The sequence below is a fragment of the Homo sapiens genome, chromosome 13, assembly GCF_000001405.40.
Source record: "Homo sapiens chromosome 13, GRCh38.p14 Primary Assembly".
Classification (NCBI taxonomy): Eukaryota; Metazoa; Chordata; class Mammalia; order Primates; family Hominidae; genus Homo; species Homo sapiens.
This window is the reverse complement of record NC_000013.11, coordinates 43,588,831-43,610,694: the sequence shown is the minus strand read 5'-3', so window position 1 is coordinate 43,610,694 and position 21,864 is coordinate 43,588,831. Positions and strand designations below refer to the sequence as shown.

The 21,864-nt window shown below is 38.3% G+C and overlaps 1 protein-coding gene across 30 annotated transcripts in view; it reads left to right on the top strand.

The window, feature by feature from the left end:
* Positions 1–21,864, top strand: part of ENOX1 (ecto-NOX disulfide-thiol exchanger 1) — a 573,843-nt gene that overhangs the window by 176,278 nt on the left and 375,701 nt on the right. For 9 of the 30 annotated variants that reach the window (XR_007063686.1, XM_047430421.1, XM_047430417.1 and 6 more), the window contains one exon: positions 776–812. The exons of the other annotated variants lie outside the window; for them this stretch is intronic. The gene's annotated coding sequence lies outside the window, so the exon portion shown is untranslated. The remainder of the gene's footprint in view (positions 1–775; positions 813–21,864) is intronic. 30 annotated transcript variants of the gene reach the window in all.

The following is a 21,864-nucleotide window of genomic DNA, read 5'->3' as shown; positions in this document are numbered from 1 at the left end:
TTGTAACTTTGTAACCATATCTGTGAGAGTTACCTCTGCCCTCCTGAATATGAATAACTAATGCTGTCCCTTAATGAGAAACCACAAAATTGTGAAATGAAAGACTGACCCAAATAAAAGTGATATGTTCATTTAGTGCGTGAACTAATCCTGTTCGTTAACTAAGCATAAAGAGAGACATACTTTTCTTAATGGAAAATAAGTTTTCCCCAACTCCATCTAATAAATGTTGAATAAGTACTTTAAAAATATCATTTTGAATGGGTACCAAACCTTTAGCCTTTCTCAGCATTCACATGATCAAATCTCAGTTGGACAGATTGTGTGGGGTGGGTGTGGAGGATGAATGAGCAGGTACAAGCATACACAGTTGAATACACAGCACAAGAAAAGTGCTCCCATGCATGTAATTAGATGAGTCCCAGTTTGAAAAAGTTACAATTTATTTATCACCTGCAAAATGTTGCAAAAATATTACATAAATGCCAAGAGCACTTTGACTTTACAATATTATGTTGGAGAACTATCTGGACCCTATCCTGATGGCCAGGGCAGATGGTAGATATCATGTGCTAAGAACAGGCACTTTGCAATTCCCAGCATTTGGAAATCTGCCATATAAATTTGAAATGGGTCAAAGTGAAATGCTGAGATTCTTTTATACTTATGAGAAGGTGCAAAATTTCAAAACTTGGGAAAATAGGAAGTTATTTCCTGATAAAACAACTCTAAAAATGTTTGGAACCAAAGATTAATTTATCTTGCTCTTCTCCAGATGGACAGAAGATGGAAAAATTTCTTACATGAATGAAGTAAGTCCCTAGTAGTAGATTAATGTTTTTCTTACTTTTGTAATGGTCCTTTTAAATATTTGTGTTGATACACCTTACATTAATTGTTATGCCATAATAATGAAGTTATTACTTTTCAATGGAATAATAATATGTGTGCAAGCTTTAATGAGAGTCTGCAAGGAAGTGAAAATAAAATAAAATGACATGGTTTATGTTACAAATAACAAAAGAACATTTTTCCAATTGCATGTGTGACATTATATGTGGAAAAATAATTAGATGCTACATGTGCTATACTTTATAATTGCTTTGCCTTTTAGATTTGAATCTTAGACTTTTATCTCTTCTATGAGGTTGTTGTCATTAGATGAGAGGAGGCAGCATCAGAATGGTAGTGAAGAGATTCTAGAAAGCTCAAACTGTATATTCACAGTCACATAACTCACATCCAGAATTATTCATTGTACCAAAACATAAATTACTTACAAAATATAAATACAGCCACAGTGACTACTTTATTAAATTATAACCACTGGGTGGAGAAAATTTATGAAAATAAAAAAGAACCTTTAAGCTATCTATACAGTTGCAAATGAGTTATTAAGGTGTAGATAACCTAAGAAGTATCTTATGCAGGGGTAAAAGGAAAAAAAGCTTCATTCACAGATACATACAAATAGAAAGTAATGGATTGTGATTTTTTGGTTTGCTAACCATAAAGAAGTACCTATGTATATCCACCTGATCGTAAAAAGACACAGAGACAGGAAAAATGTCAGATCAAAGATTAGACTATAAAATACAAGGAAAGGGGCTCTAGCACTTACTGAGTGCCTGCTCTGTGTCAGGCACTGTGCTGGACATTTTATACACATTGTAATTTGAGAACGGAGAGTTCTGAATAGCAGAATAACTGGCAGAGCTTAGAAGGGGTGATGCCAGTTGGTTTAGAAATTCAAGTGATGAAAGGAGGTGGGTAGCTGACACTGACGTTAGAGGAGGCCCAGCAATAAGGAGTAACATTTAGGTCAGACCTGGACACTCTGCAGGGTGCCCGACAGGAAAGGTCTTCAGCTGTTGCTACCTGTATACCTCACTGATGGCTAATGGCGGTTTTGTGCTGGTTCAAAGCACATTAGTCATGAAGCAGGTCTTTGGTTCATATATAGGATGGGAGGAAAAAGGGAAAAGACCAAAAAGCAATCATGACATCAGGGTATTTATATCTGTTATCTATCCAGCCCCTCATCCACCCAATTTGAGATGGCAGAAGGCAGTTCTTGGTTAACTCCTATGACCAGTAGCCCTGAGCTCCTGTCACACTCATTTCTAGCTGCAGCTGTGCTTATTGTTGTGGCCCAGAACATCAGCTGGCTTGGAATGATGTCCCTCAGTCATCAAGAAGAAGTTGTATAATATTCAGTGTACTCTTTCAAAGATAAACACGGGAAAATGTATTCTAGAAAGATGAGTTTCATCTTTTCATTGGATTGGCGATTCCTTGAGGGAAGAAATGATCTCAGTCATCTTTATATCCTTTGACATCTAACACAATGTTTTTTACATAATAGTTAAAATATATGTGACATTAAATAGGATAGAAATAACTTCAGTTTCGGGGAAAAAGTCATATCATATTGTTTAAAGTCCGGTGTTCTTATTCTCAGGAAATTCAACCAGAAATGACACTTTGCCCTCCCCATGCTCGTACCCATTCTTAGACCTCAAAATAATGATGCTTTCATTTATTGAATTAAGGAGTCAATTACTGAAATGTCTTTAGTGAAGAGGATATGTTTCTAAAGTATTTTTCAGGAACACATAACAAAGGAAGATATCGTAAAGTGGTGTCACATGATGGAATGATTCCCAGCCATTCTGCATCATACATGCATGCCTGTTCCTGGATGTTTCTCTGCTCAGTGACTTGGTGCTTCCAGCCTTAAGCCATTGCAACTCCCTGAGCTCAAGAGAGGATTAGACAGATATTACCCAGAGACAAAGACCACAGACATTTCACAGGATGTCTCTACCAGAGGTTTTATCAGAGAATCCTTATATCTACCCATGCCTAACACATACCTCTGAAGATTCCAAACTTACCTTCAAGAGAATCAGCATCATGCATTAGAAAGAGCAGTAGGGTCTTGAGTCTGCAGGCTGGGACTTCAGCAACTGTACTTGCCCTAATTGGTGAGCAGTAACCTCTGTGAGCTTCAGTTTTTATACTTATCTACATGCATATAATGAGTATTATAATATTCAGGATTTGCAATATTTGCTCTACAAAATTGTTGGTCAGATGATATGTAATAATGTATCTCATATATTTGGGGATTTTTAAGCACTAAACACACATCAAGCCAGGGTTTTCTATATGGCCAGACTTAACATTTTTGTAGCTTTGCTCCCATGAATGTGTTAACTTACTGCCATTGGTAATATTTGAAAATAAGGAAAATTGTAGGGAACTTTTTACCAACAAACTATGCGGTTACAAATAAATTACTTAGGGTATATTGATAACTCTAAAGAAAGGAAAAACAGAAAGCTTCATTAATAAAGAAGGAAACTCTATGCACAATAAGCACAAACTCTGTATGCACACTTTTGGCCTAATCCAATACTCTGTGATTTTTTTTTTAATTTTTAATTTTTGTGGTTACGTAGCAAGTGTACACATTTAAGGGGTACATGAAATATTTTGATACATGCATACAATGCATAATAATCACATCAGGGTAAATGGGGTATCCATCTCTTCAAGCATTTATCATTTCTTTGTTACGAACAATCCAATTATCCTCTTAGTTATTTTTTAATGTATAATAAATTATTGTTGACTGTAGTCACTCTATTGTGCTGTCAAATACTGGATATATATGTATTTTTTGAGACAGGGTCTCGCTCTGTCACCCAGGCTGGAGCACAGTGGCACTATCTCAGCTCACTGCAACCTCTGCCTCCTGGGCTCAAGCGGTACTCCCCCTAAGTAGCTGGGACTACAGGCACATGCCACCATACCCGGCTAATTTTTCTATTTTTTTTAGTAGAGATGGGGTTTTCCCATGTGGCCCAGGCTGGTCTCGAACTCCTGTGCTCAATGATTCGCCCACTTCAGCCTCCCAAAGTTCTGGGACTACAGGCCTGAGCCACCATGCCCTGCCATCAAATACTAGATCTTATTCATTCTATCTAATTATATTTTTGTACCCATTAACTACTCCCCTTCCCCCTGCTCCTACTATTCTTCCCAGTCTCTGGTGATCATTGTTCTACTCTCTATATCAATTAGTACAATTGTTTTAATTTTTAGCTCCCACAAATAAGTAAGAACATGAGAAGTTTGTCTTTCCATTCCTGGCTTATTTCACCTAATATAACGACCTCCTTTGCATCCATTTTTGTTGCAGATGACAGGATCTCATTTCTTATGGCTGAATAGTATCTCCTTGTGTAGATGTACCCCATTTTCTTTATCCATTTGTCTGTTGAGGGCTTCCAAACCATGGCTATTGCGAATAGTGCTGCAATAAACATGAGAGTGCAGATATCTCTTTGAAATACTGATTTCCTTTCTTTTGGGTATATAACTCACAGTGGCATTGCTAAATCGTATGGTAGTTCTATTTTTAGTTTTTTGAGGAGCCCCCAAATTGTTCTCCCTAGTGGTTATACTAATTTACATTCCTAAAAACAGTGTGCAAGTGTTCCCTTTTTTTCACATCCTTGCAAACATCTACTATTGCCTGACTTTTGGCTAAAAGACATTTTAACTGGGGTGACATGATATCTCATAGTACTTTTGATTTGCATTTCTCTGATGGTCAATGATATTGAGAATCTTTTTCATATACATGTTTGCCATTGGCATGTCTTCTTTTGAGAAGTGTCTATTCAGATCTTTTGCCCATTTTTTAATTGGATTATTAGATTTCTTCCTAGAGAGTTGTTTGAGCTCCTTCTGTATTCTGGTTATTAATCCCTTGTCAGATAGATAGTTTGCAAATATTTTCTCCCATTCTTTGGGTTATCTCTTCACTTTGTTGATTGTTTCCTTTGCTGTGCAGAAGCTTTTTAACTTGATGTGATCCTATTTCTTCATTTTTGCTTTGGTTGCCTGTGCTTATAGGGTATTACTCAAGAAGTCTTTGCCCAGTCCAATGTCCTGAAGAATTTCCCCAGTGTTTTCTTGTAGTAGTTTCACAGTTTGAGCTCTTAGATTTTAGTCTTTAATCCATTGTTATTTGATTTTTGTATATGATGAGCAATAGGGGTCTAGTTTCATTCTTCTGTATATGGATATCCAGTTGTTCCAGCACCATTTATTGAAGAGACTGTACTTTCCCCTAAGGTATGTTCTTGACATCTTTGTCAAAAGTTTACTGTAGATGTATGGATTTGTTTCTGGGTTCTCTATTCTGTTCTGTTGGTGTATGTGTCTGTTTTTATACCAGTACCATGCTGTTTGGTTATTATAACTCTATAGTATAATTTGAAGTCAGATAATGTGATTCTTTTACTTTTGTTCTTTTTGCTTGGTATAGCTTTGGCTATTTTGGATCTTTTGTGGTTCCATATAAATTTTAGGATTGTTTTTCCTATTTTTGTGAAGAATGTCATTGGTATTTTGACAGGGATTACATTGAATCTGTAGATTGCTTTGTGTAGTATGGACATTTTAACCATATTGATTCTTCCAGCCCATGCACATGAAATATCTTTCCATTTTTTGTGTTCTCTTCAATTTCTTCCATCAGTATTTTATTATTTTCATTGTAGATATTTTTGTAAAATACATATTTTTATGTATTTTATTTCATTGTAGATATCTTTCACATTTTTGTGAAATACACAATTTCTGTGGATTTCATTTTATCTGTAGCTGTTGTAAATGGGATTACTTTCTAGATTTCTTTTTCAGATTGTTTGCTGTTGGCATATAGAAACACTACTGATCATTGAATGTTAATTTTGTATTCTTCAACTTTACTGAAATTTATCATTTCTAATAGTGTTTTGGTAAAGTCTTGAGGTTTTTCCAAATATCAGATCATCTGCAACCAAAAAATTTGACTTATTCCCCCCTAATTTGGATTCCCTTTATTTCTTTTTCTTGTCTGATTGCTTTGGCTAGGACTTCCAGTTGTGTTGAATAACAGTGGTGAAAGTGGGCATTGATGTCATGTTCCAGATCTTATAAACTTGATCATTCATCATGACCAAGTGGGATTTATCCCCAGGATGTAAAGATAGTTCAACATAGGCAAATGAATCAATGTGACACATCGTATGAACAGAATGAAGGATAAAAACTATATGATCATTTCAATTGATGCTGAATAAGCATTTGATAAAGTTCAACATCACTTCATGTTAAAAACCCTCAAAAATCTAGGTATTAAGGAATATACCTCAATACAATAAAAGTCATAACCAACCAACAGCTAGTATTGCACTGAATGGGGAAAAATTTTTTAGTACTGCTTTTGCTGTATCCAAGAGGTTTTGGTGTATTGTTTTTCTTTTATTATTTGTTTCAATACTACCATCAGAGTGAACAGGCAACCCACAAAATGGGAGAAAATTTTCGCAACCTACTCATCTGACAAAGGGCTAATATCCAGAATCTACAATGAACTCAAACAAATTTACAAGAAAAAAACAACCCCATCAAAAGGTGGGCAAAGGACGTGAACAGACACTTCTCAAAAGAAGACATTTATGCAGCCAAAAAACACATGAAAAAATGCTCGCCATCACTGGCCATCAGAGAAGTGCAAATCAAAACCACAATGAGATACCATCTCACACCAGTTAGAATGGCGATCATTAAGAAGTCAGGAAACAACAGGTGCTGGAGAGGATGTGGAGAAATAGGAACACTTTTACACTATTGGTGGGACTGTAAACTAGTTCAACCATTGTGGAAGTCAGTGTGGCAATTCCTCAGGGATCTAGAACTAGAAATACCATTTGACCCAGCCATCCCATTACTGGGTATATACCCAAAGGACTATAAATCATGCTGCTATAAAGACACATGCACACGAATGTTTATTGCAGCATTATTCACAATAGCAAAGACTTGGAACCAACCCAAATGTCCAACAATGATAGACTGGATTAAGAAAATGTGGCACATATACACCATGGAATACTATGCAGCCATAAAAAATGATGAGTTCATGTCCTTTGTAGGGACATGGATGAAATTGGAAATCATCATTCTCAGTAAACTATTGCAAGAACAAAAAACCAAACACCGCATATTCTCACTCATAGGTGGGAATTGAACAATGAGAACACATGGACACAAGAAGGGGAACATCACACACCAGGGCCTGTTGTGGGGTGGGGGGAGGGGGGAGGGATAGCATTAGGAGATATACCTAATGCTGAATGACGAGTTAATGGGTGCAGCACACCAGCATGGCACATCTATACATATGTAACTAACCTGCACATTGTGTACATGTATCCTAAAACTTAAAGTATAATAATAATAAAATAAATAAATAAATAAAATAAATAAAAGGAAAAAAAAGCAGCTGGAACCATTTTGCCATCCCATTGGTATCATTATTATTAAACTCTTAGGAGAAGGGATTTTGCAAAATAAAAAGCATGACATATTATAACTTATGGGGAAAAGCATGACAATATAGCATGACATATTGAAAGAGCATGGCATGTTTAAAAAAGTAAGATATGGTAAAGCATGACACCTTATAACTTCCTTATAACTTGTTACTTTCTGATTTCCAAAGTCTTACACGTTTATTACAGTGAACAATAGTGAGATGATGGATGATTTCCATCATCTTCATTATAATATTCAACACTTAAAGGTAATATTATTATCCTTATGTCTGTTCTGTATTTTCTTTACATATACACATAAGCTGTTATTATTTATATAATTAAGTTCAGCACTCGATGTGTTGGCTAAATGAATGATAGCATGTACTTTTTGATACTTTTTCCCTTAGAAATACACTGTCAATTGTTTCCATAGTTCACTGTGTTTGTCTACTACTTAATTTGTGTCATCTTCATATTATTCCAATCCTGTGCACATATTTCATGATTGGTTTGGACATTTTGGCTACTGGATACTTAGATTGCCCTATCCTTTTTTTTCAGTTACATATGATGCTGTAGTGAATATCATCTCCTCAAACCCTTGGTATTATCCCTAGGAGAATCTGATATCCTAACGTATATCCTACTTCATACAGAATACATTTTAAGGCTTTTATATTTATTGTCAAATTGTGGATTAGAATGGTTAGTCCAATTTATATTTCCATGAGCTGGCATGAATGTTCATTTTCCTACATTTTTATTAAGTGCTGGGCATATTCATTAAAAATAAAAATGTTGGCCAGTTTTATAAGATAAATGTGGAAATTGTGTGTATATATATCATATGATAAATGTGTTGGAATTATTGAAATTTTCATTTGATCACAAATAAGGTTTTAAAATTATTTCATATATTTGCCATCCATTTTACCATATATTATTTCTAGCTCTTCTTCAGTGAGTTGCCTGTTTATATCTTTTGCCAGGTTTTCTATTGATCTATTGATGTATTTACCTTTTTTATTATTTATAAAATATCCTCATATAGTAAAGATATTAGTCTTTTCTCTGTCATGTATATTGTGATGTGTGTGTGTGCATGTATTTTGAAATGTTATGTTTTATGTAATCATATATAATGCTTATTTATTTGGTGGGATCTTTCTTTGCTCTTATGCTTACATAAGACTCTTCTACAATAAAATTATTCCTCTAAAAATATTATTTGTTTCAATAAATTTTTAAATTTCCTTCATAATTCTTCATTGGCCCACTAGTCATTTAGGAGCTTATTGTCTAATTTCCATGTGTTTGTATAGTTTATTTCTCCTTTATTTCTCCTTCCTATTTGAAGGATATTTTCACTGGATATACTATTCTAGGATAAGAAGTTTTTTTCTGTAAGCACTTTAAATATGTCATTTCACACTCTTCTGGCCTATAAAGTTTCCACTGAGAAGTTTGCCAGCAGACGTATTGGAGCTCCATTATATGTTATTTCTTTCCTCTTGATGCTTTTAGAATCCTTTCCTTATCCCTGACGTTTGGGAGTTTGATTAGTAAATGTCTTGGTCACCTTATCTTGGTTACATCTGCTTGGTGTTCTGTAACCTTCTTGTACTTGAATATTGATATCTTTCTTTAGGTTTGGAAAGTTCTGTGTTATTATCCCTTTGGATAAACTTGCTACCCCTATCTCTCTTTCTCTCTACCTCTTCTTTAAGGCCAATGACTCTTAGGTTTGTGCTTTTGGCTTTTGAGGCTATTTTCCAGACCTTGTAGGCATGCTTCATTCTTTTCGATTCTTTTTTCTTTTGTCTCCTTTGTGTATTTCCCAATAAGTCTGTCTCCAAGGTCACTAATTCTTTCTTCTGCTTGATCAATGCTGCTGTTAAGAGACTATAATGTATTCTTCAGTGTGTCAACTGCATTTTTCAGCTCCAGAATTTCTTCTTGATTCTTTTTAATTATTTCAGTCTCTTTGTTAAATTAATTAGACAGTATTCTAAATTCCTTCTCTGTGCTATCTTGAATTTCATTGACTTTCCTTAAATCAGATGTTTTGAATTCTTTGTCTGAATAGTCACATAGCTCTCTCTCCCCTGGATATAACCCTGGTGCCTTATTTAATTCATTTGGTGAGGTCATGTTTTTCTGGATGGTCTTAATGCTTGTGGGTATTCGTCCAGTCTTGTCATTGAAGAGTTAGGTGTTTATTGTAGTCCTCATAGTCTGGGCTTGTTTGTACCCGTCTTTCTTGGGAAGGTTTTCCAGGTATTTGAAAAGATGTTAGTGTTATAAGTTTTTGGTCCTTGCAGCCATATCTGCATTAGAGGGTAACCCAAGCCCAAGCTGTGACGCTTGCAGACTCAGAGAGCTATCACCTTGTTGGTCTTGGATAAGATCTGGAAGAATTCTCTGGATTACCAGGCAGAGACTCTTCTTCTCTTCCCTTACTTTCTCCCAGACAAACAGAGTCTCTCTCTCAATGCTGAGCTGCCTGGAGCTGGAAGAGGGGTGACATAAGCATCCCTGTGGCCACCATTATTGGGATTGTGCTGTGTGAGACCTGAAGCCAGCACAGCACTGGGTCTTGCCGAAGGCCTGCGGTAACCAGTGCCTGGATACCACTTGTGTTCACTCAAGGCCTTAGGGCTCTACAATCAGCAGGTGGTAAAGCCAGCCAAGTTTGTGTTCTTCCTGTTAGGGCAGAAAGATCCCCCCCAGGTTAGAGATGCTGTCCTGGAGCCAGGGCCTAGAGTTGGAAACCTTAATAATCTACCTGATTCTCTATTCTACTGTAGCTAAGCTGGCACCCAAGCCACAAGGGAAAGTCCTCCTGAATCTTCCCTCTCCTTTCCACCAGCAGAGGAGTCTCTCCTCATGGTTACCACTGCCCCAAGTCTGCAGTGAGTACTGCCTGGCTACCACCATTGTTCCTTCAAGACCCAAGGGCTCTTCGTTCAACTTGTGGTGGATACAGCCAGCCTAGAACTCTCCCTTCAGGGCAGTGAACTTCTCTCTGGCCAGTGCTGGTCCAGAAATGCCGTGCAAGAGTCAACACCTGGAATTGAGAACCACAAGAGCCAGCATGATGCTCTATCCCACTGTGCCACTGTGACGGAGCTGGTTCCTAAACTGTAAGACAAAGTCTCCTTTACTCTTCCCTTTCCTTTTCTCAAGCGTAAGGGGTCCTTCCCCATAGCCACTTCAGCTGGCAATATGCTGGGTCACACCTGAAGCCAGCATGTCTCTGAGTCTTACCCAAAGCTCACAGTGAGTAGTGCCTGGGTCCTACTGCTGATTATTCAGGGTCAAAGTGCTCTTTAGTCAGCATGTGATGAATTACCCAAGATTGGGTCCTTTTCTTCTGGCCCAGAATGTGTCTAGAAATGTCATTCAGGTGCTAGGGCCTGGAATGGGGGCCTCAGGACTTTGCCTGGTGCCCTTGTCTACTGTGGCTGAGCTAGTATCCAAGTTGCAAGTCCTGAACTTGGACTTGCAAAGTCTTTACTCTTCCTTATTCTCATCTCAAGCAGAAGTAAGGAGTCTTTCCCAGAGCTGTGAGCTGTGCTGCCTGGGGTTGGTGGAGGGGCGGTACTCGCACTCCTTTGGCTGCCCTGGCTGGTGTCTTACTAGGTCATATGCATCTCAAGTCCACTGACTTTTGGCCCAACAAAGCACCAGAACTTGCCCAGGAATTGTAGTCCTTTTAGCCTAGACTGCCTTCAAGTTTATTGAGATCTGTAGAGCACTTTAGTCTGCAGTGATGAGGCTTGCTGGAACTCAAGTTCTGACCACTGGGGTGAATGATTTTTCTCTGGTTAGGGCTGGTCTAAATGCTCCCTCTGTAGGTGCCAGTTGAGTTCTGCCTAGTGTTGCTTTCCTCTGTGACAGGGCAGCACTGAGTTTCAATGCAAAGTCCCACTATCACTGCACTCTCCCTTTCCCAAGTGTGTTTAGGGGAGGGAGAGTGCAGCGATGGTGGGATGTACTGCCATGGAATGAGGAAGGGGTGGCATCAGGAATTCAATATTGTCTTTTATATCCTCTTCAGTGCCTCTTTCAGTGATATAAATTTAAAACCAGGTACTGTGATTTTTGGTTCTTTTAAAGGTGCTTTTTGGGTGTGAATAGTTGTCCAATTTTGTGTTCCTGAAGGAAGCATGATTGGTGGAGGGTTCTATTAAACCTCTTCCCTCTTTTCTCCTAGTTCAATACTTTGATTGTTATCTTAATCACAGACTCTCCCACCTGCACCACAGAATTCAGACCTCTTCCCTCCATCATGTTCACCAAGCTCACGAACATTCTAGAATTCCCACTTCAATTGAATTAAGGCACTGTTAACACATTTACGTGGGTCAGTGACATTCTTTCTCTTTTACTTACCAAAGAGTTATCCTCCATGTATGTGACAGAATAACATGTTTCCTCTGCAGATCCTTATCAGTTTGCTCTTTCCTTTAGAGCCTCTGTTAAACTGCTCCTTGGATCCTAAAAAAAATTTTTACTTTCTAAACAACGTGTTTTTAAAGGGGTCTTCTTAAACATGACCCATAGTTTTAACACACATTTTTCTACAGTTTTGAACATAGCACACTGTATCATCTGTAGTTTAATATTTGTTTTAACAAGTTACAATAAAAATGAAAAAACAGTTTTGTCAGGCTTTTCCCAATTTACTGCTTTGCCGTCTGTGAGTTAGAGGCATGTGCAGAGACTGGAGGGCACTGGCAATCCTTGTGTCTTCTGCCCATAGACCATGCAAGTGGAGAGGAGCCCCCGTTAGGAACAGATGGAGTAGGTTCAGGAAAATGGCCACGCTTTCTAAACCACAGAACATGCTTAGAGCAGTTCTGAAAATGAAGGTTTGGAGTTCTGATACTAGTACTTTCAATCTGCTTGAGGATAGGAGAAATGTTCACTCATTTAACAAACATTTATCTTGTTCCTATGATGTGCCAAGCACTAAGGTTCTGTGGAGAAAGCATGGAGCAAAATGGACAAAAACTCTGCTTCATGCAGCATATTTTCTTGTTGGAGGGGGCTATGTGTTCTTAGGAGGAGAGTGCTATACACTAATTTGGCTGTCTTTTTTTTTTTTCTTTAAAGGCCTATTTTGTAGTGTTTGCTGATCACAGCTGATTTCAGGCTAGCAATATGGTATCAATGGATGGGAGCTGGGAAGAGATGAGCACAGTCAGCTCTGTAGAGCCGGGAGACACAAGAGGCAGCCAGTGAACAATTTCAACATGTAAAGTGTATGTCAGATGGTGATTTGTACTGCAGAGAGTGATGAGGCAGGGAAGGGAGAATAGGGCATGCTGGAGGAGGCTTGCTGTCATAAATATGGGCAGGATAGGCCTTGCTAAGCTGGTACCATTCGGAAGGGATGAGAGTTCTAGGCAGAGGGAACAGCAAGTACAGACTCCTGATATGAGAAGAGGCCAGATATGTTTGAGGAACAATAGAGAAGACTGTGGGCCAGAAAAGAGTGAGCAAGAAAGTGAGCAGTGGGAGATACAGTGACCCAGTACATTGTATAGGGCCCTGCAGGCTGATGTAAGGACTCAGCTTTTTCTCTGAGTGAGATGGGAGACTTTGCAGGGTTTTGAGCAGAAGAGTGACATGTCTGACAAAACATTTTAGCAAGACCCAGATGGCTGTCTCTTGAGAACAGAATAAATAGAGAAAGGGCTAGAGATGGAGAGATTAGTTAGGAATGGAGGTAATAATCCAGGTGAGAGATGGTTGTGATTTTGACCTGGGTGGTTAGATGTGGTTGTAATCTGGATTGATTTTGTGCCAGAGCTAGCCTGATTTGCTGATGGATTGGATGTATTGTGTGTGACAGGAAGAGGTGAGTCAAAGGTGACTTCAAGGCTTTTGGTTTAGAAGTCAGTCAGACCTGATGTTTTGGTTTTTGCTTTGAAGTCAGATTTAGATTCCATTCCCACCTGTCAGTGGCCCTTTGTTTCCCTTTCTTGGCCATGGATGGTAGGCTCCATGATATCATTTGGCTCTGCGTCCCCACCCAAATCCCATCTTGAATTGTAATCCCCACGTATCGGAGGAGGGCCCTGGTGGGAGGTGATTGGCTCATGGGGGCAGACTTCCCCTTTGCTCTTCTCATAATAGTGAGTGAGTTCTCACAAGATCTGGTTATCTGATAAGTGTATAGCTCTTCCCCCACTCTCTCTCTCTGTCTCCTGTTCTGCCATGGTAAGACATGCTTTCTTCCCCTTCGCCTTCTGACGTGATTGTAAGTTTCCTGAGGTCTCCCAGCCATGCTTCCTGTTAAGCGTGTGGAACTGTGAGGCAATTAAACTTCTTTTCTTCATAAATTACTCAGTCTCAGGTAGTTCTTTAGAGCCGTGTGAGAACAGACTGATACACTCCATGAGGGTGGGGCATGCTGTAATTTTTACCATTACATTCCTGTTGCCTAGCACAGCACTTGCCCAAGCATAGGCACTTAATACATGGTTGTGTGAATGTTGTACCTCTCTCCATAGTTTAATTTTCCAAAGTAATAATACTAACTACAGGTAGTTTTGAAGAATAAATGAAAAATAGTATGTCTAAAGTATGTTGTACATCTGCCATTCAGAAAACATTAACACATGAAACCTATAATTTTTATTGCCCATATTCTATGCTCTTTAGAATGTTGGTTAAATTTTGAACACACAGAAAGGATGCTGCTTTATAGAAAAAAATAATGCTAGGTTATTTTCACCATTTCCATTAAGACTTTGTCATTAAGAGCCATCTCTTGAGTGACTCAAAAATATAGGAAGGACTTCCATGTCTAAAAGCCAGAAAATATAAACTGGTTTAACTGCATTGCTGCAAAGAGGAAGGATCTGTCCTACCCACAGGATTAAAGCAGGATGGAAATGAAAGAAACACTCTCCCTAGGAACTTTCTACATATGAGTATTATTTCCTATGATAATTGTTGTTTTTAAGTGGTGAAAAATGGAAGGCCTGTGGTGGTGTTAAATGTAGATGAGCAGAGACTGAACTATTTGAGCAACAGTACACTTCAGTTGTCATGGTAGTGAAAAGCTCCCGATAGATCTTTTCCCCTGTCCCCAGATGTTTAAAATCTATGTTAACATGCCCTAAATGGTGACAGAGCCAGATGTGAATGTATAATGTCATTTTTTTAATCTTTAGCAGTTTAGAAAATCTTTTTAAAGCTCAGAGATTGAGTTTAGCTGGGAGTAAGCAAGTGAGAATTTGGTATAACATCTGTGTTTCTGAAGTTTGTATTTTTAAGCCGTATATGAAAACTCAGTTGCCTTTCCATATGATGCGTTACTTGCACACATTTTGAAGAGGAATTCTTAGAAACAATTAATAAGAGCATATATGGTAATTGAGACTACAGAATTTAAAATGGTCTGTGTAAGTCTTTATTTTCTCGTAACATGACTTGGGTACCAATTCAGGCTAATGACTGGTAAAGAAAAGAACAGACACTAATTTGCAAGTAGCTCCTGAAGTTGATTGCTTTAAGAAAAACCTTAGCCTTTATTTTAGCTCTTTTAGTAAGTGAAATTGTATATAGATATTTTCTAAGTGAATTTGATTTTCACTAGTGTTTTAATTTTATAGGATAAATCTTGTTAGCCAGTATTTTCCTATGAAAATACCTCTGATGAAAGTGAAAAGTGTACCCTCTTCTTACCATTGACCCTATGACCCTATGAAAGAATGTTAATTGAGGGCCATGATACATGTTAAAAGAGCAGTTAACTCTTCTTGAGAAAGAAAAATTTTAATGTTCAATTAATCTGTATGGAGAACAACGAACATAAAGTCTAATACATAAGAGACCTGCACGTTGTGCACATGTACCCTAGAACTTAAAGTATAATAAAAAAAAGAAATAAAATGTTCATTGGTATGTTTTTCTGCTGACTGGAGGATGAAAGAAAAAGGACAAGAGTATGTTTTTTATAAGGAGATTAGAGTTAGATAATCAAGGAGGAAGAAGAAAACAGGAGACACCAAAGAAAAAGAAAATGTAAATAATTCGTTCTACCTGCTATTACTCTACAAACTTCTATTCATTCAATATCTATACCTCATTTGGGTCCCGGTTTCCCTTCTCACTTAACAGCCTCTTAAAATCTGGTACATTAAGCTCCTTCTGATCTAGGTATGCCGCTTTCCCTCCCTAAGGCACCATCTCTCCCTAGCTGTGGGTTCACCCCAAGGGAGCCCTGGTGTCTCTGAGGCATCTGAGATCCACAGCACTGTCCTTCCAGATCTCCACCCGCCTCTCTGATAAACTGCCTGAGCCTTTCACTTCTGACAACCTTCTTAGCGCATGCTTAGACATGGGCTGAGAGAAGCCCTGGAAAATCTTGGTCTTGGAGTGAAAGCTGTGGTGATGCAAAGGTATGGCAACTGGAGGCTGTTCATCACCCATGCTCCTTGCAGCAGAGTCTCTTGAAGGAAAATGGGAGCCAGGAATCTCCCTGCTGCCTCATGCACCATCTCCCAATAAGTATTGGTTCAACTTCGGTCGTGAGGTTTGGAGTTAGGCCTGGGTTTGAATGTTGGCTTTGCTAATAGTTAGCTATGAGCCCATGAGACATTAAGTAAGTTCTCTCCCTCTTTGTTTCTTTCACTTACAAAATGGAGATAATAATACCTCTTTCCCAGGGTTGTTGTGAAAATTCAGTGAGATAATAAAGGGAGGGCTACACAGCGCCTGATATATCCTAACCACCTATATATAAACCAAAGATAGTTACTTTGGGTTCCATGTCAGCCTCAGCCCCTCTTCCTCAGCTTAAACAAAATAACTAATTAGCCTTTTGAACTGAAGTGCTAAGTAAACAAAAGAATAATTCAGGAATTGTTGCTACATTGCCTGTAATTTTCAAACACGTTCTTTTATACAAATATAACTCTCCTTATATGAAGATACTATTTTGAGGAATTGTATGTATGTGTACAGACTAATCTTTATTCACACTATTACACCAGACAGGAACAGTCCAGCTAACAGTTTTTTAAGAAGGGATGACTTGACCTCGGTTTGTAGACAGAAGTAACTTGCTGTTTTTACCACTGCTATTTATACCTATCACCCAAATCAAAGAATTATACCACATTCCTGGATACTGCATTCCAAATTGTAAAGGGAACTTCTCCTTCCTTGCTAGTATCTCTGGATGGTGCAGAGATATTAGAAGGGAAGTATCTGTGCATCTTGGAAGAGTTTATTTTGCCCTCTTGTAATCCCTTCACTCCTCCGAGCACAATGGGGCCTGGCGTTGTTGGGCGCAGTAAGAGACAATCACTTAGGTAGGAGCACATCTCCCTGACCTTGTAGAGATACCTCCAGACCTAGAGGGCAAGAGGATTAGACTCTGGCACAAAATCCCAGATAGCTTTACCTGGATGAACTCCCAGTTTTAGCGTGCTTCATAACTCCATTACTCAGTAGCTTCTTTGGTACAAAACAGGTCATTGTCAATAGAAGAAGGATAAGTTAAGAAAACTAATATTTACTCCAAGACTTTCCCCAGAAGAAAGCCTGATAAATTGCTTCAAAGGGAGTGCCTGTGTGTGTGTGTGTGTGTGTGTGTGTGTGTGTGTGTGTGTGTGTGTGTGTGTGTACAGAGATTGGGTGGCAGGGTGGGGGTGGGGGAATAGAATTGCAAATCCAAATGGACCCTCAGGGGTGAGGGCGCCCTTGTTGGCTACCTCCATGGTTTCGAATTCCTGCTGAGTACGAACACTCCATAACCTCTCCTTAATTCTAGTCACTTCTCAGGTGAGCTTCGAAGGGCTTCTTTGTTTTGTTTTGTTTTGTTTTAAGGGTTTCGCTGCAGACAGAATAACCAAGAAAACAAAGCTGGAGGAGTTGTGGTTGCCTCAGAGACCTAGAAGGGCCCTCCTGCAGTGGCTTCTCAAGGTCACTCTCTCCCCACTCACCCTCAATTCCAAACCATTTTATTTCTGATCTCTGATGTAGGCTATGGGATCATTTATTCGTTTGGTTCCTTCTCCCTGAAAGGAGGTAGGCCTGAGGATGCATTTTGGGCAAAATCAGTAGAATTCCTTCATTGCCAGTGAAATGGTCTCCAAAGCCTGTAGGAAGGTAAACAGATGAGAAGTCACTCCAGACAACAATCTTTGTCAGACTCTAGGCTGCTGGTCTTCTCTACAATAATTATTAGTGAAATTTTTAATCCAGTTATACAAGCAGTTCTTGGAATTAGTTGGCATGTATTCTGTTACTATATGAAATACTAGCACAGCGTTGCTGCTGAATAACTAACGTGATAGTTACTGATATTTTTGAGAACTTCAAGGATGCAGAATATTAAGTAAAACCTTAACAATTTATGAAAGTGTTTTTGTATGGGTATCTGGCAAAGGAATAATTATAAGGCAATATCTCCTTGAGATCAATTTTTAATGTGCCAAAGAATTATTGATTTTATCAGATCCTAATGTGACTTTAGGAGAATTTGTGATGAACATTAGTGTTTTCAGGGCCTTCCTCTGCAGAGGAGGATAGCAATCTGGCAAATATCAATGCAGTTAAGTTAAATTGGCTTAGTTGAATCATATAGCCTGTCTTTAGAAAAAGCTTAATTTCTTCTTCCTTCCTTCCCTTCCTTCTATATTTCATTAAGATAGCATTTACAGCATAGAAAAATCTATACCAATAAGTTTTGCATTCTGATGTAAAAACATTGAAAATCCAACCAAACTAATTTTGAGGAATTAACTTAAATCACATTCTAATAGATACTGATATTCTATTACTGACAAGAATAAATCAAGCTGTTCTTTGTTCTATTCTTTGTGTACTTGTTTTTACTTAAAAAAAATGCAATGATGGTATTTTAAATTATCTATAAATAAAGCTGCATGAATGTTCCCATAAATTACTTAATCACATATTTTACATGTCCCAGATGCTCAAGATTTTAAATTTTTTATTGCAGTATGCACTAAGTTATGCTTATAAGGACTGAGTGTTTCAGTAAACATATTGATTAGTTGACAAATAGTAACACAATTCTTAAATTCAGAAGTCACTAACATTTAAATAGTAATATAAGAAGTGTGACTTGTATGCATTGTTGGACTCCTTTCACATTTTATATCTAGTCAAAAAGTTGGTCAAATTATTTGTCTTTTCAACTAAGGTGAATGACTAGGAGCTTGTTGAGCACACACGGTGAAAAATATAGAGAAAGCATTGTGATCATTAGGGGTAACTGGCCCTCTAGAGGGGCTCTGGGATGCTCTTGTAAGTGGTCCACAGGCTGGCCCTCCAGTCACCCCCATTGTGGAGCTGAGTCGTGTGTGGGCTGCTGTGAGAAGGTGTCCCCTGGCACAGGGCTGTTTTGGGGAGGGTGTCAAAGCCAGGCTGGTCTTTTGCCTTCAAAGTTTCCATGGGAAAAGTTACCTCCAACTTCTATTTGCCAACACCAGGATTATCACATACTCCTTTGGCAGTATTCGTGGATGGGAGCTGTAATTGGCTGAGACAAAATGCAGGTGGGAGGGGTCTGAGACAAATCTGGCCAAAGCTCCAGTTTTCCCTGGGGTTTGCTGCTCGTTCCCAACTCCAATGCTCTTTTTAGAATTTTAATACTTTTAACAAAACATTACATACATATAAAAGAAAGCATGTAACAGGTACTTACATTATAAGACTAGAAAGACAAAACACCTGTGTGTGCACTGCCCAGCTAAAGACCATTGCCAATAAATGGAGTGTCTCCTACGTACTTTTCTCCAGTTTGCTGCCCCTCATCTCTCTCCCACCAAACCTCCTTTCTGTGCCTTTTATGTTGTCTTATGGTTGTATTCTACATGTGTGATCTGTAGACAATATATTGTTTTATGTGTTTTTGAGTTTATATAGAGGGACTCATACTCTGTTTGGCTTTTCTTTTATTCAACATTTTATCCCTGAGATTTATCTGTATTAATTTGTGTAGCTACACTTAATTAATTTTCACTGCTGTGAAATATTCCATTGTATGACTATTCAGAAGTTTTTAATGATCTCTTGATTCATTTGAATTGTTCATAGTTGGGTTTTTTATTTTTATTTTGCTACTACAAATAATGCTGCTAAGACCTTATATATCTGTAAGACATAGGTGCAGATGGTTTTCTGGGAAATAATACATCTAGTCATTGAAATAATTAGCCAATGGGTATGTGTATCTTCAAATACAGTGCTAAATTACTGTGTAAAGTGGTTGTTAAGTTTAAATTCCCACCTGTATTCAATACTCTGTGCTCTTGTCAACATTTGGAAACCACAACTTTTCTAATTTCCCCCAATCTTGAGTATCAAATGATACCTCCTGGTTTAAATTTATGTTTTCCTGGTTACTATTGGAACATTTTCTCATACTTTTTTTTGACCACTTATGTTTCCTCTTCTTTGAAATACCTATTTCTGACATTTGCGCATTTCTCTGTTGGGTTGTCTTTATCTTTTGATACATAGGCATTTTCAATGTTTTTTTTTTTTTTTGAGATGAAGTTTCACTTTTTCGCCCAGGCTAGAGCACAGTGGTGTGATCCCGGCTCACTGCAACCTCCACCTCCCAGGTTCAAGTGATTCTCCTGCCTCAGCCTTCCGAGTAGTTGGGACTACAGGCGCGTGCCACTGTGCCCAGCTAATTTTTTTTGTTTTTTTAGTAGAAACAAGGTTTCACCATGTTAGCCACAATGGTCTCGATCTCCTGACCTCCTGATCTGCCCACCTTGGCCTCCCAAAGTGCTGAGGTTACAGGCGTGAGCCACCACACCCGGCCCATTTTTCAATGTATTCTATGTAACATCCTTTTGGGTTTTATGTTCACCATGTTTGTGGATTAACTCTTCATTTTCTTTATGGTGTCTTTGGATAAAGACAATTTTAATTGTAATGTGTTCCTTCTCATTTTCGATCATTCATGCCTCATAACCTCTAATTTACATTTTCTGTTTTCTTTGTCACTCTATGCTGCAATCTGGGGTTGCTCCTTCAAGTCTTTGTTCTAGTTCACTGAATCTTTTTTTCAAGTGAGTTCTAATTTGTGGTGTAACCCATCATTCAGTTTTTTGTTTCAAAAGCTTTCTTTTTTATTTATAAAATCATCTGTTTTGTTATTTTTTTGTCTGATTGGATATTTTCTGATCATTAAAAAATTTTTCCTCTCATTTATTCAGCCACTTAGAGCATAACGATTTTCTGTTCTATGTCAATTAATGCTAATACCTGAGGCCATCAAGCAAATTTGTAGCTTGCTGTTGGCTTAGTTCCTCACCTACATATATTAATGTTTGCTTGTGAGCTCATACTTGGCTGAACTTAATCTGTGGGAATTATGAGGGATGTATATTAAGGATTTTTTTTTTTTTTTTTTTTGCAGAATAGACTTGCCTGTGCTTCATTGGGGTACCAGGGCTTCAATAAGTAGCCAACTAAGGGCAGCTTTTATTTAATTATTTGGCCTGGGCCAGGCATGGTGGCTCATGCCTGTGATCCCAGTGCACTGGGGACAAGATGGGATGATTGCTTGAGGCCTGGAGTTCAAGACTAAACTGGGCAACATAGTGAGACTGCATCTCTCCAAAAAAATGAAAAATAAAAAATTAGTTGGGCATAGTGGCATTCGCCTATAGTCTGGCTACTTGGAGGTCGAGGTGGGAGAATTGCTTGAGCCCAGGGTTTCAAGGCTGAGTGAGCTATGATTGTGTCATTGCAATTTAGCCTGGGTGACAGAGTGACACCCTATCTTGATAATAGTTATTATTTGGCCTAGAGTTTTCCTGACACCCCAAGTAATATAAACTTCACACCATCTGAGATCTGGTCTTCTGTTGTAGATTCTGAGGGGAGACAATTATTTTCTTGCTATATTTATCCTGAGAGTAGGCAGGGACAGGTAGGCTTCCTATCTGTTTCCTCTGCAACAGGCTATTGGCTTTTGGTGCTCTCTTTCACTGAGGGTGAGGTTGTTTCTAGTACCCGTTGAATTTAGGGTCTCAGACTTAACAGCACTACTTTCTGCAGACCCTTTGCTTTTTTTTTTTTTTTTTTTTTTTCCATTAATGTCCAAAGCTCTGGGTTCCTGGTTTGGTCATTTTTTTCCTGCATGGAAGGCCCAACTTCAGGGTTTGCTTAGCATTCTTGTTTTAGTTTGTAGGTTTCATCTTTTGTTAGCTTCCCTTGTTTTCTGGAGAGCTCAGCAATGTGTTTATCTGTAAGTTAGCTGTTTATCCATCATGCAAATGTTTTATGAAAGGAGAGCTTTCCTGAATATTTAGCCTACCAAGGATTAGAAGTCCAAATCTGTACCAGTGCTCTTTGCCATTAAAATACCACTTCTCCCTCACCCCACCTCTGGCAAGTGCATATGGTTAAGAGACACCAAGACTTGATAATTGAAAACAATCATATCTAAATCGCTTCCATTGGTTTTAAAATTTTG